The sequence below is a fragment of the Homo sapiens genome, chromosome 8 (genome assembly GCF_000001405.40).
Source record: "Homo sapiens chromosome 8, GRCh38.p14 Primary Assembly".
NCBI lineage: Eukaryota > Metazoa > Chordata > Mammalia > Primates > Hominidae > Homo > Homo sapiens.
Window position 1 is genome coordinate 130,400,873 of NC_000008.11, and position 17,016 is coordinate 130,417,888.

At 44.7% G+C, this 17,016-nt stretch overlaps 1 protein-coding gene across 15 annotated transcripts in view; it reads right to left on the reverse strand.

Moving 5' to 3' along the window:
* The window catches only part of ASAP1 (ArfGAP with SH3 domain, ankyrin repeat and PH domain 1), a 391,571-nt gene that overhangs the window by 348,769 nt on the left and 25,786 nt on the right, over nucleotides 1–17,016 (reverse strand). For 13 of the 15 annotated variants that reach the window (XM_047421810.1, XM_047421806.1, XM_017013468.2 and 10 more), the window contains one exon: nucleotides 1,013–1,098. In XM_047421810.1, coding sequence (XP_047277766.1) covers nucleotides 1,013–1,021 — 9 coding nt within the window. In that variant the 5' untranslated portion in view covers nucleotides 1,022–1,098. Of the gene's footprint in view, nucleotides 1–1,012; nucleotides 1,099–1,947; nucleotides 2,017–8,171; nucleotides 8,190–17,016 lie in introns of those variants that run through there. The other 2 variants (XM_011517052.3, XM_047421807.1) reach the window with 2 other exon arrangements.

The following is a 17,016-nucleotide window of genomic DNA, read 5'->3' on the forward strand; positions in this document are numbered from 1 at the left end:
TGAATGTAGAAATTCTTTTTTTTCTGAGACGAAGTCTCATTCTTGACCCCCAGGCTGGAGTGCAACAGTGTGATCTTGGCCCACTGCAACCTCTGCTTCCGGGGTTCAAGTGATTCTCCCTCCTCAGCCTCCCGAGTAGCTGGGATTACAGGCGCCTGCCACCACACCCGGCTAATTTTTTGTATTTTTAGTAGAGATGGGGTTTCACCATGTTGGCCAGGCTGGTCTCGAACTCCTAACCTGAGGTGATTCTCCCGCCTCGGCCTCCCAAAGTGCCAGGATTACAGGCATGAGCCACTGCACCCAACTGAATGTAGAAATTCTTACTTGGCAGGATTGTTGGGAGGAGTAAATGAAATTTTATTTTATTGTACTTTTAATTTTTATTTTTGAGAAGGAGTCTCACTCTGTTGCCCAGGCTGGAGTGCAATGGTGCAATCTTGGCTCACTGCAACCTTTGCCTCCTGGGTTCAAGCAATTCCACTGCCTCAACCTCCCGAGTAGCTGAGATTACAGTCACATGCTACCACACCCAGCTAATTTTTGTATTTTAGTAGAGACAAGGTTTCGCCATGTTGGTCAGGCTGGTTTCGAGCTCCTGACCTCAAATGATCCACCCACCTCAGCCTCCTAAAGTGCTGGGATTACAGACGTGAGCCACCATGTCCAGCCTGAAATGTTTTTAAAGAACCTAAAACACAGTGGACTCCTATAGCACCTTATAGTGTTGCTGGTGTCACTGTTGTTGCTACTCTTGACTTCTTATAGGCACCACCACCCAGACAACTTTCCTTATAAATAAAGGCAATGGATAATGTGACAGAAAACATAGTAGGCAGTCTACACCTGTACAAATGCTAGAGATCTGTTCTCCAATAACAATCGTGCACACAGTCTCTGTTAGATTCCAGTGCTTGTGTTTGATAAAATTTTGCATTTCAACTCCCAAGAAGAATCCCGCTGTATCTCCCACGCCGAGTTTTCTGGACAGGATGGGCTAGAGATCACTCACCGATTCCATAGTGAATCTCTCGACGAAAAACTGGAGAGCCTGGAGGCTGAAGATCTCATGTCTCAGCCGTCACATCAGAAAACGACCTGGATAGGGGGCAGGACAAAAAGGGGACAAGAGTCATCCGGTGAAACTGGGCAGAAGACATTGTCTCAGACCAAGATCGGATTTCATATGGAGGCTGCACCTTTGTCAGGAATGTTCTTGCACCACAGAGTGGCTGTCCAGAAATATGAAGGAAACTACTATTTCAGCTTCCTATGGTGGGGCTGATACCTCCATCATTGAATCTCTGTGCAAGTAAGTGCTCAGGAATCCTTCTGGCATTCTATTTCTAGCTCTACGTTGGAGAGCAATTTACAAGTCATTAACTTCTCTAGACCTAGGCTCCTAAACATAAAATTAAAGTGTGCTGATGGATGCGACAGACAGACAGACAGACACCTGCAGCTGGGTGCCCACGAGAAAGCAAAAGTGTTCACCCGGCAAAGGAAACCAGTTGCAGGAAGAAGGCAGATATAGAAGAATATACATATTTCAGGACAGCCCCTCTGAACCTGGGAGAGGATTTTAATTAATTCATGCATACCAAAGCTTAATTAATTGCTGAGTGCACAGAGCACAGGAAGTCTGGGATAAAAGATGTTACATAAGGGAACAGCTTCAATATTTGCAGAATAGAGGGAAACAGAGGTGGGGATATAAAAATAAATTGAGCCAAGGGACCTCCTTGGCTTTTATCCAGTGATTCCTAGCTCAATGTGGCATCTCCATCCAGGGCGAAAAACCGAGAGACATCTCAGTTCCACCATCTCCCTCACCCCCATATCCAATCCATCCCCAATTCATGTCTACTTTACTTCCTAAAGATCTCTCCACTTATCTCTCCCCACCTCCACTGGTCCAGCTCTGGACCAAGCCTCCATCATTCTTACCTGGGCCACTGCAGCTGCCTCCTAACTGATCTCCCCTCATCACCATTTCTCCCTCTGAAATCTAGTCTTCCATGCTGAAAGCAGAATAATCTTTTGTGGGGTTTTTTTTTTTTTAATCTTTTATTACAGGGAATTGTGTACAGACATAAAAACAGAGAAGTGTATCATATACCCCCTGAACCCACCAGCCAGTCTAATCACATTAACCCATAATCATACCCACCACATCCAAACCCTCAACCTTCCTGCCCGTGCATTATTATTTTGAGGAAATTTCCAGTCATCTTATCATTTCAGTCATAAATATTACCGCATGGATTTCTAAGATAAGGTCTTTGGAAAAAAATAACACTGTAAAACCACTACCATACCTTAAAAAGATAGCAATAATTCCTTGATATCATCAAATATTCACACAGTGTTCAAATTCCTAATAGTCTCATAAATGTCAAAAATGGTGTCTTTAACAAGTGTTTTTTTTTAAAAAACCCAGATCCAAATAAGACTGACACTTAACAATTGAGTGATATGAAGAATACAATTTTGAAAACACAAATTTGATTGTGTCATCCCTCAACTCTCCACCACTAGCTTAACATCCCTCAACAGCTTCTCAGTGCTTTAGAATAAAAATCCAAATCACTGAACATGTTCTGACTCTTGTTCACCTCTCTGACCTTATCCTGTCTACCAGGCACAATGCTGTAGCCATAAGACATTTTCTTTTTCTTTTTCTTTTTTTTTTTTTTTTTGTGAGACAGTTTCACTCGTTGCCCAGACTGGAGTGCAGTGGCGCGATCTTGGCTCATTGCAACCTCCACCTCCTGGGTTCAATTGATTCTCCTCCCTCAGCCTCCCAAGTAGCTGGGATTACAGGTGTCCGCCACCACGCCCAGCTACTTTTTTGCATTTTTAGTAGAGACAGGGTTTCGCCATGTCGAGCAGGCTGGTCTCGAACTCCTGACCTCAGGTGATCTGCCCACCTTGGCCTCCCAAAGTGCTGGGATTACAGGTGTGAGCCTCTGTGCCCGGCCCATTGGACATTTTCTTAGATCCTGGAACATGCTGCAGTTGTTCCACCACAGGTCCTTTGCCCATGTTGTTCTCTCTGTCTGGAAGGCTTCCTCTCTCATCTTCAGTGCCTAGGTAACTCCTGTACTTCCTTAAATATTATATTCTCAGAGAAACTCTGCATCTTCAGATTAGATCATGGAATTTATCTCAGTTTTTAATTATGTTTCAACGTGAAGACTGATTAATATCTGCTAATTTTCTTCAATTGTAAGCCATGTGGATACAAAGATTGTGTTTGGATTTGTTTATTGGTGTATGTTGCAGCACCAACTCTACAATGCCCGGCACAACAATATTAATAAATATTTGTTGGATAAACGATCAAACCATTTCCTTCAAACTTAGATGCCAACAGCAATTGAATCTTCCTGAGCACTGAATCACAAATTTAAATTAGATGGGGAACTGACAAGCTTATCTTAAAATGCATATGGAAATGCAATGGACTCAGGATAGCCAAAACAATCTTGAAAATGAAGAACAATGTTGGACTTCTATTTCCTGACTTTGAAAGAAATCAGGACAGTGTGGTACTGGCATAAGGATAAACATATGCTATCCTTCAGAATCAAAGATCATGATCTTCCTATAATATTGACCTCCAGAACCCAACTTTACTAAGCACACGCTTATGAAAAATAAGTATCTGTTACTTGCATACATAGTCAATGCCTCTCCCAGCCTGCTCCTCAGTTTATTATTCTTTTGCTTTCCTTGCTTCACCCAAGTGGAGCAGCTGAGTTAGTATGGTAGACTGCATGAGTCTTCCCAGTTCACTTCCAACATGACTGTGAACTACACATTTCTGCCCTTTGTCATGGGACTTTGTAGTACTTCCCACTAGAGTGAATGGTGTTTACTTCCCTGTCCCACTGGATTCTGGACTGGATCACTGACTTGCTGTAGCCAATGGAATGTGGCTAGAAGTGACAGTGTGCTGTTCCCAAGTCTATTCCTCTTGCCCTCTTATGATGCACCACAAAAGGAATATGTCTCCATAGCCGCTGTCTGTTGCTGCCTTTTAGTCTGAACTCAGATCAAAGACATGTGGAGCAGATCCCAATCAACCACAAGTCCGGCATGAACCAGCCATGCAACTAGATCAGCCAAACCACAACCAACCCATAGATCCTTGAGCATGAAGATACATATCTGCTGTCAAACAAGCCTCTGAAATCCTGAGGTTTTTGCTACTCAGAAAAAACTGCCTAATTCACATGGGAATATTAATTTATGAACACCGAGTATCAATAAAGCCATGCACATAGACAGCACAAGTATGATGACCACTGACAGCTGTTCTTGCAGAATTCCCACCTCCTTGGTGCCAGTTGGACTCACACAACAATCCTGCAAGGGAGACACTGGGCCAGATTTATAGATGAAAAAATCATAACTCACAAGATATGAAATAACGTGTCCAAGACAGTGTGTGGCAGAACTAAGATCCTGACCCGGGTGGTCTAAAAAACTCCAAGCCAGGCTTCCTCTGCATAAATCATAAAAGGGTCTTGCAGATGCTGCCCCATGAGTCTGTGATGTACCAACCTACCTCCACTCTTGTCCCATTCCTTCAGTGGGTCTTCATGAGAGGCTGCTGGGGTCGGGGGGAAGGCCACTGGGCCTAACATCAAAAGTTCCAGTCCCAATTCCACCCCTATGGAGAGCTTCACCCTTGTCAGCGAGCCTCTTTAGCCCTCAGGTTTATGAAATGAGGCCACTAATCCCAGCCTGGCCTACGTCACTAGACCATCGTGAACCTTCAGAGAGATGAAGTGTGAAAGAGCTGTGTGAGGTGTGACACCATAGTCAGTTCACATTCTGCTGCCTTGACTCTGAACTAATTCGAAGTAGGTTAGCAGCTACGTCTATGTCCGTACCTCACCCACGGCACTTGGAGACCCATCTGATGCTCTGAGAATGATTTTTTATTCAAACAGAGATTATTTCTTTCTAGTCAAGAAAGTAATCTAGGTTCATCAGAAAAAATATTAAGGCATAAAATTAAAATCAATTATTATCCCAATACCTGAAGATAAATACTGTTCCTATACTAGTCAAGAAAGTAATCTAGGTTCATCAGAAAAAATATTAAGGCATAAAATTAAAATCAATTATTATCCCAATACCTGAAGATAAATACTGTTCCTATACTAAGGCGATTTCATTTCTGGGACTCTTTTCTTTCTGTTGGTTTTTTGTTGTTGTTGTTGTTAAGGGTAAAACAAAGAATACATTTCAATTACCATAATTTTCTTAGAAGCAGGGAACTACCCTGTGCCAGGGACTGCTCCTGCTGCCTAAAGACAGAGCAAAGAACAAAAGAAAAGAAAGTTCATGATCTTAAAGGACTAATATTCATTCATTCATTCATTATTCTTAAATTCCATAAACATGGGTCACCCACATCCAGTACTGGGCACTGGATGATGATGATGATAATGATGATGACAGCTTCCTTGCCAGATCCTGTACTCTAACAGTATGACTTATTAAAAGTTGGCCCCTAGAACAAACACATCTGGGTTAGAATCCAGATTATGAATCTTTGATGAGTTATTTATCCTTTCATACTTTAGTTCTTTTTTTTTTTTTTTTGAGACAGAGTCTCGCTGTGTCACCCAGGCTGGAGTGCTGGAGTGCAGTGGCGCGATCTCTGCTCACTGCAACCTCCGTCACCCAGGTTCAAGCGATTCTCCTGCCTCAGCCTCCCAAGTAGCTGGGATTACAGGCATGTGCCACCATGCCCAGCTAATTTTTTGTATTTTTAGTAGTGATGGGGTTTCATCATGTTGACCAGGATGATCTCGAACTCCTGACCTCAGGTGATCCACCTGCCTTGGCCTCTCAAAGTGCTGGGGTTACAGGAATGAGCCACTGTGCCTGCCCTAGTTCTCTCATCTTTAAAATTGGATTTCCTGTTCTGTGGAAGCTGTACTTAGAAAATTAGGGACTTAAAAGAAAATAGACCAAACTTATTTTTATGATGCTATTCCTCTTAAGCTATCTGAAGCCCAACTTGTCCAGTCCGAGCTGAAATTCCACCTCTTCTAGGAAGCTTTCTCCAATTTTCCCAGCGCAACAATCTGTCCATTTCTGAACTCTTACAGCACAGCTAGTAACCATAAGGAAAGTACCTACCTCATGCAGTCATAGCAAGAATTAATAAGAGAACATGATTAAAGCACTAAGCAAAAAATGGTTGGCTCCCCGTAACTGATGAATGCATGGGATCTAGTTGTGGTGGTAGTGATATTACTGCCTCGTTTAATCCCCATACCTATCCTAGAAGAAGCTGAAACTCAGACATTGAGGAACGTGTCCAAGGTTATTGCTTGGGCACCTCAGGCTCAATCCCACTAAGGGACCTTCTGAGAGACTGTGGAGAGCACATCTCAGAATTGCCCCACCGAAGGGAAAGGAATCTGGGGCATTTACCTGCCACCTTCCATCCCTAACTGCCCAGACACAACCAGGGCATAGTCTCAGGCTGAGATGCAGGAAGCCCTCTGTGTGAATGGGCACTGTCTGCAGTGCCTTCCGGGGAGCACTCAAAGACATGAGCAGGGGAGCGGCAGCATCTGTACATAGACGCTCAATAAATATCTGTCGAAGGAGTGAGTGAACAATGTCTGTCAACCCCCACGGTCTTCTGTACAACCTCTCATTTCCCGCTGCCACCAGCGACAGAAAGATTTAAAGCACCTGCCTGCTAAAGTGAACCAGAATTCATTACCATCAAGCATCAGATTTGTTACCACCCACGTTTCTGCTTTTCCACTGAAATTCTGTTCTACGACTTACAGTTTGTCAGTCAGGACAGGAATTCCTGATGCCATGCAGGAATCGGGGACATAAATCATTTGGTACATAAACCCTTCTTTATTGCCATTCCTCAAATAGGTGTTTTTTATTCAACAGAAGTGACTCCACGAATGTTGGGATTTGTATCCTTTTATAGAGGATGTTATAAACTCTTGAGTCATCTGCAGCTGGTTACAGCTTGGACAATTTTTTCCCCATAATATCAAACCAAGCACTTTTCCTATTTACTGATGTAATTCTTTCCTGTTCTGTGGAAGCTGTACTTAGAAAATCAGGGACCTAAAGAAAATAGACCAAATATATTTTTGTGATACGATTCCTCTTAAGCGATCAGAAGCCCAACTTGTCTAGTCCCAGTTGAAATTCCACCTCTTCCAGGAAGCTCTCTCAAACTTTCCCAGCCCAGTAATCTATCCACTTGTGAACTCTAACAGCACTGCTAATAACCATAGCAACCCCTTATTGTTGTTTTATGTGTCAACTTGACTGGGCTAAAGGATGCCCAGATAGCTGGTAAAACAGCATTTCTGGTTGTGTCTGTGAGGGTGTTTCTGCAAGAGATTAGCCTTTGAATCAGGAGACTGAGTAAGGAAGAGTACCCTTCCCAACGTGAGTGGGCATCATCCAATCCATTGAAGGCATAATATTAATAGAACAGAAAGTAGCAGGAAGGGTGAGTTTGCTCTCTGCTTGAGCTGGGACATGCATCTTCTTTTTTGGACACTGGCGCTCCTGGTTCTCAGAACTTCAAACATAGACTGGGATTTACACCATCAGTTCCCCTGGTTTTTAGACCTTCGGGCTAGGACTGAATTACACCACTGGCTTTCCTGGTTGTCCAGCTTCCAGATGGCAGATCAGCCTCCATAATCAATTCCACTTATTATAAGGGTGAGCCAATTCCCTATAATAAATATCCCCTTACATATATCCTATAAATTCTGTTTCTCTGAAGAACCCTTTTACATATCAGACCCCATCCTAGGCACATTCATTAAATCCTACAAGGAACTTTGCAAGGAACTGTGATTGTCTGAATTTTAGATAAGGAAACTGAGGCTCACCAAAGTTACATAACATTTCCCAAGTCATACAGCTGGTTAGTGGTGGCAGACTCAGAACTCAAACTTGAAAGAGCTCGATTTCAAAGCTCAGAACTTTATCTGCTGTGCTAAGCAAGGCACTATGGATCATGACCAAACACACCCCATTTGGTATCATTTCCTGATTGTTCATAGAGGTAAGTCAAATCTCCTCTCCTGGCTGGATGTGGTGGCTCATGCTTGTAATCCCAGCACTTTGGGAGGCCAAGGCGGGTGGATTACCTGAGGTCAGGAGTTCGAGACCAGCCTGGCCAACATGGTGAAACCCCATCTCTACTAAAAATACAAAAATTAGCCAGGCATGGTGGCAGGCGCCTGTAGTCCCAGCTACTTGGGAGGCTGGGGCAGGAAAATAGCTTGAACCCAGTAGGCAGAGGTTGTAGTGAGCCGAGATTGCGCCACTGCACTCCAGCCTGGGTGACAGAGTGAGACGGTGTCTCAAAAAAAAAAACAAAAAACCTCCTCTCCTGTGGTGATTCTTGAATGTAAATGCTGAGACCATTTGAATTGGTCGTGGGGATTTTGTACTAATCGCTAGGTCTTTCAGTTTCCATATCTGCTGGCAAGCAACAAGTCCTGCCTCCCTACCAACCCTGATCAGCCCTGATTTAGGCATCTGTAACCTCAGGCCAGGTAACTTTGGACTCCTGCTATTTTTCCTAATCCCTCTTCTCCCTGGCCAGCATGCATGTGTTTGAGATGGGCCCTTCTGATAACTCTATCTTCCCAGGATAATCCAATAGGCTACAGTTCAGAGAGATACAGAGGAGACCTTGCAGAAGCCCACCCCAAGAAGAAAGCCAAGAAGGGCTGAGGTATTCTCCCTGACAATGCCGAGGCTGCTGGACCTTAGCTTTGGCTCTGCCCCCAACCGCCCGCCTCATTTGTTGATTCAAATGATAACAATCAAAGATGGTTTGGGTCTTTCCTCTCCAAAGAAGAGGTCACTGTGAAGGACCCACAACCCAAAAGACCAGAACCACTGTCTTGCTGGATTATACACTCATGACAACTGTGACTGCATGTCTTATAGCCTACTCTGAGTATACTGCAGGCACTGGGCCTGACAGTGAGGAGGGTGAGTTGAGTAACACAAGGTCATTGCCCATAGAGAGCTCACAGTCTGGTGGGGCAGGGACAGGTATAGAAACAGACAGGATGAATGGTTGTCAGTGATATCATCTGGGTGTGAACACAATGTCATAGGACCTGCCTTCCAAACATCTCTTAAGTGCCTACTGCATGCTATTTTCCATTGGCTACAGCTTCCCATAGTGAGAATTATCTTCTGGGAAAATGCATCTATTCATCCACTAATATACTGAAGAAAAAATATTAAGCTAAATATCAAGGAAGTATTGGTTAGCAAAATAGACGTGGTCTCTGCTTAAGGAATAAGACCTTCGTCAAAAAACCTCACCGACAACAAGAAAAAGGGCACGTACTGGTACCATAGGACCTACCTACTATAAGCGATTAATAAATCCTCAGCATTTTAAAAAGTTACATCCTAAGAATTTTGTGACTCTTAGAATAAGTGAATGCCAGAGAAACAGCCTCGGGACCCCCAAGAAGAGAACAACGAAATAAACTTGAGAGTTCTCAAGTTTATTCTATACTCGGAGGGAGGCTAGGCTCACTAACTAGCCACGCAATCCAATCCTCATGCCAGCAGGAGCAGGCTCAACCCAGTCTGGGCCACCACAAATTATACATTTTCTTCAGGGTTCCCCTGGGAAGAAGTGCAAGTGTGGAATGTGAAATCCAAGGGAGCCTAGGGTCTGCTGTGCTGCCCATTGTGTGATCATATCTTCAAGGTCATTTCAAACAATCTTGAATTCACTCTCAGCGAGTATGCTGAGCGCAGAGCCATCTGGGCAGCTGCCCCCTCATGCTGCAGCCCAGGGCTGGGGGAATTTCCCAAGCACAGCAAAGAGGAGAGCCCTTGGGACAGAAAGACACATTCCAACACGGGCTCTCCCACCTAATTTCTGGCTGATCTTGAGTGATGAAAAATCACTTCTGGGAACCTGTGTCATCTTCTTTTTCTGTTTTTTGAGACAGAGTCTTGCTCTGTCGCCCAGGCTGGAGTGCAGTGACGTAATCTCCGCTCACTGCAACCTCCGTCTCCCGGGTTCAAGCAATTCTCCTGCCTCAGCCTCCCAAGTAGCTGGGATTACAGGCACCCACCACCATGTCCAGCTAATTTTCGTATTTTGAGTAGAGACGGGGTTTTGCCATGTTGGCCCAGGCTGGTCTCGAACTCCTGACCTCAGGTGATCCACCCACCTTGGGCCCCCAAATTGCTGGGATTACAGGCATGAGCCACTGGGCCCAGCCCTGTGTCTTCTTCTGAAAAATGGAGATTTCTGCAGACTATGATGATGCCCACACACAATGCCTTGACTCTCACAGGTCATTACAGGCCAGGTGCATCTTACTGCAAGCAACACCTGCCACTCTGCCCCAAGAGCTTGCTCTCAGCCACCAAGGCACAGGCTCGGAGTGCCAGGAAATGAATGCTTCTAGCTGTGGCCTTCAGACAAGGATGAGTGGAAATCAGGAAACAATATCCCAGCTCCTTGCCCCTTGGTTCTGACAACCTGAGAGGTCCCCAGAGGAATGAAACCCTAGTTTCCTGCCTGATAACATGCTATTCGTTGGCTCCTTCTCTTCTCTGTCTCCCTTCCTCATTCCTCCACCTGTGTTTCCTTGGATCACCTCCCAAAGAAACTATGCATGCTCCAATATTTTCTCAGTGCTGGCTTCTTGGGGAAACCACCCTAAGACAGGGATGATGATACTTTTAACAGAGTGTTGTTAGGAGGAAAAAAAGGAAGTTGTATAAGTGTAGAAATGCCAGCATAAAGCAGGTGTACAATGAACAACTGCCAGTATTATGACAGCCCAAAACTAGAAATGACATCTGCAGCCCAGGGGCCTGACTCAGCGGCTTCCCAGCAAGGCCAGCACCATAGGCATGTTTTATGTGGCTGGAAATCCTGTTGGTGTCCACTGACCACTGTCCCAGTGACAGAGAGAATACAACCAAGGCCTGGAAGTCACCTTCCAGGAGCAGCACCCCAGTGTCCCAGCCTCCACCCTGTCCAAAGAAAAGGGAACCAGGATGGAAAGGGGTCTGCATGGAAAGGAGTTTACTCCCTCGCAGGAAGCCCCCATTACCCAGTGCTCACCAGGTACCACGCAGGCCCTGTATGGGTATCGGCCACATAGCCCCTTTCAATCACGCTGAGTCTTCACCCAGCCCAGAGCAGTGAGAGGTACAGCTAGGAATGTCATCCCACTTTACAGAGGAAACAACAGCCCTTACAGGATAAATAACAATTTTAATAGAATAAATAACAACAGGTCTGATAGAGTTTGGATCTGTGTCCCAGTGCAAATTTCATACTGAATTATAATCCCCAGTATTGGAGGTGGGGCCTGGTGGGAGGTAACTGGATCATGGAGGTAGATTTCTCATTAATGATTAGCCACCATCCCCTTGTTGCTGTCCTTGCCATAGTGAGTGAGTGACTTTCCGTGAGATGTGTCGTTTAAAACTGTGTTGCGCCTTGCTCTCTCTCTTGCTCCTGCTTGGGCCATGTGACGTGCCTGTTCCCCCTTCACCTTCTACCATGATTTTAAGTTTTTTGAGGCCCCCCAGAAGCCGAGCAGATGCCAGCATCATGCTTCCTGTACAGCCTGCAGAGCCATGAGCCAATTAAACCTCTTTTCTTTATAAATTACCCAGTCTCCGATATTTCTTTATAACAATGCAAGAATGACCTAATACGAGTCTAGCAGAATAAATAACAATTTCTTTTCTTTTCTTCTTTTTTTTTTTTGAAATGGAGTCTTGCTTTGTCACCCAGACTAGAGTGCAGTGGTGCGATCCTGGCTCACTGCAACCTCCACGTCCTGGGTTCAAGTGATTCTCCTGCCTCAGCCTCCTGAGTAGCTGGGATTACAGGCACATGCCACTACACCTGGCTAATTTTTTAATAGAGATGAGGTTTCACATGTTGGCCAGGCTGGCCTCGAACTCCTGACCTTAGGTGATCCACCCACCTCGGCCTCCCAAAGTGTGAGGATTACAGGAGTGAGCCACTGTGCCCAGCCACAATTTTTAAAAATAACAAAGCTAGCATATATTGCATAGTTATTATGTGTATCTGACACTAACTACACAAGCAATAACTTCTTTAACCTTCATAACAAACCTAGGCAACAGGTATTGCTGTTTGATTTTACAGAGAAGGAAACTGAGGCAAATACAGGATGAGTATCTTGCCAGAGTTTTTACAGCTAATAAATGGAACCTAGGTCTGTCTGATTACAAAGACTTATCTTTCCTTTAAATCTCACCAGCCTTTCAGAGCAGGGCCAGCCTCAGGAGAGGTCTCTGCTGCATGTATTTCCCTTCTAGTTTTAGAACTAAAAAAAGATCTTTAACACACTAACAAGACCAGCCTCGCTCGAGCTCATTCCTAACACTTAGGAGTAGGTCCAATTAACATCAGCCCACTTGACCACACTCTTTGTAATTACCGTATTTCCTCCATTTTATGATGACCACATTTTCACATTTTAGCATTTCTGAAACAGGACGTGTCTCCTATCAATAAAATATAATGTGGCAGAACTATTTTCTCTCCCAACACTGCTATGATATCAATAATGCATCTTGAAATCAAAGACATCTCAGAATCAAAGGAAATAAAGTATATCTAAGAAATGTTCAAATCTCATCAAGATAAAGCCCAGATCAGGCCTTAGAAGACTGTAAGTTTGAAAAATGAGGAGCCTGAATCATCTCCTTCAGACTTCCCCAAAAATCCATCAAAGCATATCTGTGCCTGCATAAAGTTTCACCCCACACAGCAGCCCACTACCATCTATCTGTGGCTCTGAAATCTCATGGAATCCCTATATATCTGCATTTTTAATTTAAAAAAAGGAGATCAGTTCCTCACTTGTCAGTCCACAGATAACATCTAATGAGTGCCGATTATGTTGTTAAAATATGAAATATATATTTGACTGCATCTTCTATTTTGCCAGATTCATTCATTCATTCATTCATTCATTCATTCATTTATGTAACACTCCAACAGTTGCCTATGAGGAGCCCACCCAAGTGAGGCATTTTCCTCTGCTGTAAGGCAGACAGGTGAATCGATGATTGCTGGTACCTGCAAGAACAGAAGTTGCTATAAAGTAGAGAAAATAATACAGAGGACTGGATAGTGAGTGGCTTCATGGGGGACATAGTAGCAGCTTCTGGTTTTGAGGATGAACAGGAGTACACCAGACAGAAAGGTAGGAAGAGGGAATTCTGAATGGACAGAACAGTAGGTTCAAAGGCACAGTCTTAGAAAGACCTTTCATTGGACGAATGTTTGCTGACCCATCTGCCATGTCCAAGGCACAATGACGATACTTCCAGAATTTTAAGATAATAAATGTGTGTTGTTTCAAGCCATTAAGTCTGTGCTTCCATCTAAAACCTTGTTACCACCTATACAAACAGGCAGATTTGCATTTACAAGGTTCTTGACCTGAAAGGTGCAGAGAAGCAGAAGGAAAAAGCCAGGGTTTCAGAATTAAGGGGCAAGAGTTTGAGAGTCCTGGCTCTTCCCTCTACCAGCCTTGGACAAGCCACCTTACCTCTCTGAACCTCAGTTTTCTCATCTGTAAAACTGGCATTAATAATATTAAACTCAGGTGCCTGCTGTGAATCAGGCCTTGTGATTTCCATCCAGAAATACACACATAACTGATGCTTCTCTTGGCCAATTATTTGGCCCTCTAGCCTCAAAATATTGCAAATGTATCAGCCAAAGTACATGATCTATTTAACAATGAAATTCTTTTTTCTTGATATACGTGTCTTATTTATGAGGGTGGGAATATTGTTTGTTCACTTCTATAACTCTTTTTTTTTTTTTTTTGAGACAGGGTCTTCCTCTGTTGCCCAGATAGGAGTGCAGTGGCAAGATCTTGGTCCACTGCAACTTCACCTCCCGGGTTCAAGCAATTTTCCTGCCTCAGCGTCCTAAGTAGCCAGGATTATGGGCATACGCCACCACAGCCCAGCTAATTTTTGTACTTTTAGTAGAGACAGGATTTCACCATATTGGTCAGGCTAGTCACGAACTCCTGACCTCAGGTGATCCCCCCACCTTGGCCTCCCAAAGTGCTGGGATTACAGGCGTAAGCCACTGTGCCCGGCACACTTCCATAACTCTTAAAATGCCTAGTGCACAGCAGGTGCTCAATAAATTATCTGTTGATGAATACATTAACAGAATTAGATAAAAACAAATAAGGGAAGCATCAGGAAGACTTCTATATGCATTGTCAAAATGGGAAACTGGGGATGCCTTTTAAACTACAGGGTAATTCAGGCTGAGGCAGAAGGATAGCTTGAGGCTAGGAGTTCAAGACCAGCCTAGGCAATATAGTGAGACTTCATCTCTAAAAAAATTTAAAAACTAGTGGGGTGTGGTGGTATACACCTATAGTCCCAGCTACTCTGGAGGCTGAAGCAGGAGGATCACTTGAGCCCTGGAGATTGAGGCTGCAATGACCTATGACTGTGCCACTGCACTCCAGTCTGGGCAACACAGCAAGACAGCAAGACCCTGTCTCTTAAAAAAACAAAACAAAACAAAACAAAACAGCCAGGTGTGGTGGCTCAAGCCTGTAATCCCAGCACTTTGGGAGGCTGAGGCTGGTGGATCACCTGAGGTCAGGAGTTCAAGACCAGCCTGGCCAACATGGTGAAACCCCATTTCTACGAAAAATACAAAAATTAGCCGGGCATGGTGGCAGGTGCCTGTAATCCCACCTACTCGGGAGGCTTAGGCAGGAGAATTGCTTGAACCCAGGAGGCGGAGGTTGCAGTGAGCCAAGATCACACTCCAGCCTGGGCAACAAGAGTGAAACTCCATCTCAAAAAAAAAAAAAAAAACTACAGGAAAATATTCATGAGACCTAACACTGGCCCTTCCACTGGAAGTCCTACAACAAATTACATTTCAGCCAACCCTGACAAAGTCCTGTGACCAGGGAACACCACTGTTCCAGTCCTCAAACATCTTTCTGAAAATCCATCTCCATTTCTTAGAAATTTTACTGCCTGTAAACTTAGAAGGATCAACCAATTTCCACAAGACTCCTTTTCAAAATGAAGTTTCCCCAGAGTCTAGACTCTCTTTTTAATGAGGTTTTAAATATTTTCTATTTCAACAGCTGTTTGTCTCCCAGGCGCAGCGGGCCACACCTGGACAGGATGCTAAGCCTGGATGCAGCTGACTCACCACAGGCCCGACGCCACTCCCCGCCCCACTAGTGTCGCCAACTCCGGAGGACAAGCCGCTGATTTCAGGGTGCCCATTAGAATGGAAGGCCCTTGAAAAATCCCCAAGCAGGCAAAAGAGCATTGTAAGCAAAGCAACCCCACACTCCGTCTCTTCCTCCTCTCCAGAGAAAACTTCAGGGAAACAAGACGCCGCAGCTAGCACAGTGCCTGGCCTAGTAAATGTTTGTTGAATGAATTAATTAATGAATGCCTAAACAAACACCCTCATGCCAAGACTTTCTGGGCACACACGGTCATTTCCCATCAGAGTCAGTTCCCAGCTGCCGACCAGTCAACAACATCTAATCAGAGCCATGGATGTCCTGCAAGTCACTTGCTTTGCAACTATCTCCAAAATAGGTTATCCTGACTGTCATCTTCTGGGGGCTGCTGTAAACTAGATTTCTCTTAGAAATCAATCAAGGCTTCCCACCTTTCCGAACCCTATTTCCCCTGAATGACAGAGAACTACAAGGAATTAGTCTGAGGCAGAATGCATTAGTGCCCCAAAAGGGGCAGGAGATTTGGCTCAGCTACCTGCTTAGGCTGCCACCTAATGGAAAGTCCACTGGCTCCTCGGAGACTCTGATGCCACAGTGGTAAAACAGAAATCATAATGACCACATGCCACAACCACTGTGGGAAAGAGCATCAGACTTCCCATTCTGGTATCACGGCAGCCTGAGCTGATGGGGCAACCTTCTCTCTTCTGTTATAAACACATCAAATCTTGAATGACTATGACCCAAGTGGGATAATACATAGCCAAATGGAAGAAATAAAGGCCATAGCTCCCAGTACACACATCTGTGTACATTTGCATACACGCATATGGACACACAGAAGTGCAACCCATGTACAACTGCATACACACATACACACATGCAAAGTGCAACCCATGTACAACTGCACACATACACACAGAAGTGAAACCCATGTACAACTGCACACAGAAATACAACCCATGTACAACTGCACACACACAGAAAACAACCCACGTACAACTGCACACACACAGAAAACAACCCACGTACAACTGCACACATACAGACAGACAGATATACAACCCAAGTCCAACTGCATGCACACATACACACATACACAAATGCAATGGACTATGTGCCGCAGCAGCAGGGCTGTTCCCTGTGGGCCCATGGAAAGGATGCTGGGCGGTTCCCAGATGCCCTTCCAGGGGCCCTTCCAAAGGACTTCATGTGCTGGGTCGGGACATTCCATTGTCAGCCCGTTTCCTCTGTGGAAGCAGTTTTCTTGGCTCGCTCTGACACAAGTGATACGGGCGGAAAGAGCAGTCCCTTCTCACAGTTCAGAGATTGTTGTGAAAAGGGGTCAGGCTGGAGGGTCCGAATTTGCAGAACCCATACCTAGACATGCTTCATGAGACAGAAAACCCCACAAGTCCTGGCTTCAGGGGAAAAAAAAAAAAAAAGGAGAGGCAAATGCATGGGCTGACAAAACTGACAAGTCCAGGAAGGATGGAAATTCAGGCCTGGCTAGATTCAAGGGCTCAGAGGATGTGGTCAGGGAGAGGTTAGTCTTCATCTGTTGGCTCTGTATTTCTGTTCAGGGGAAGGATGGCATTTTCAGGCAGGATCTCACCAAAGGGGCCACTGGCTTTCAGGCTTACATCCAGACACAATTCAGCAATCCCTGCAGGAAAGCCTCGCTGTACTGGTGGTTCTA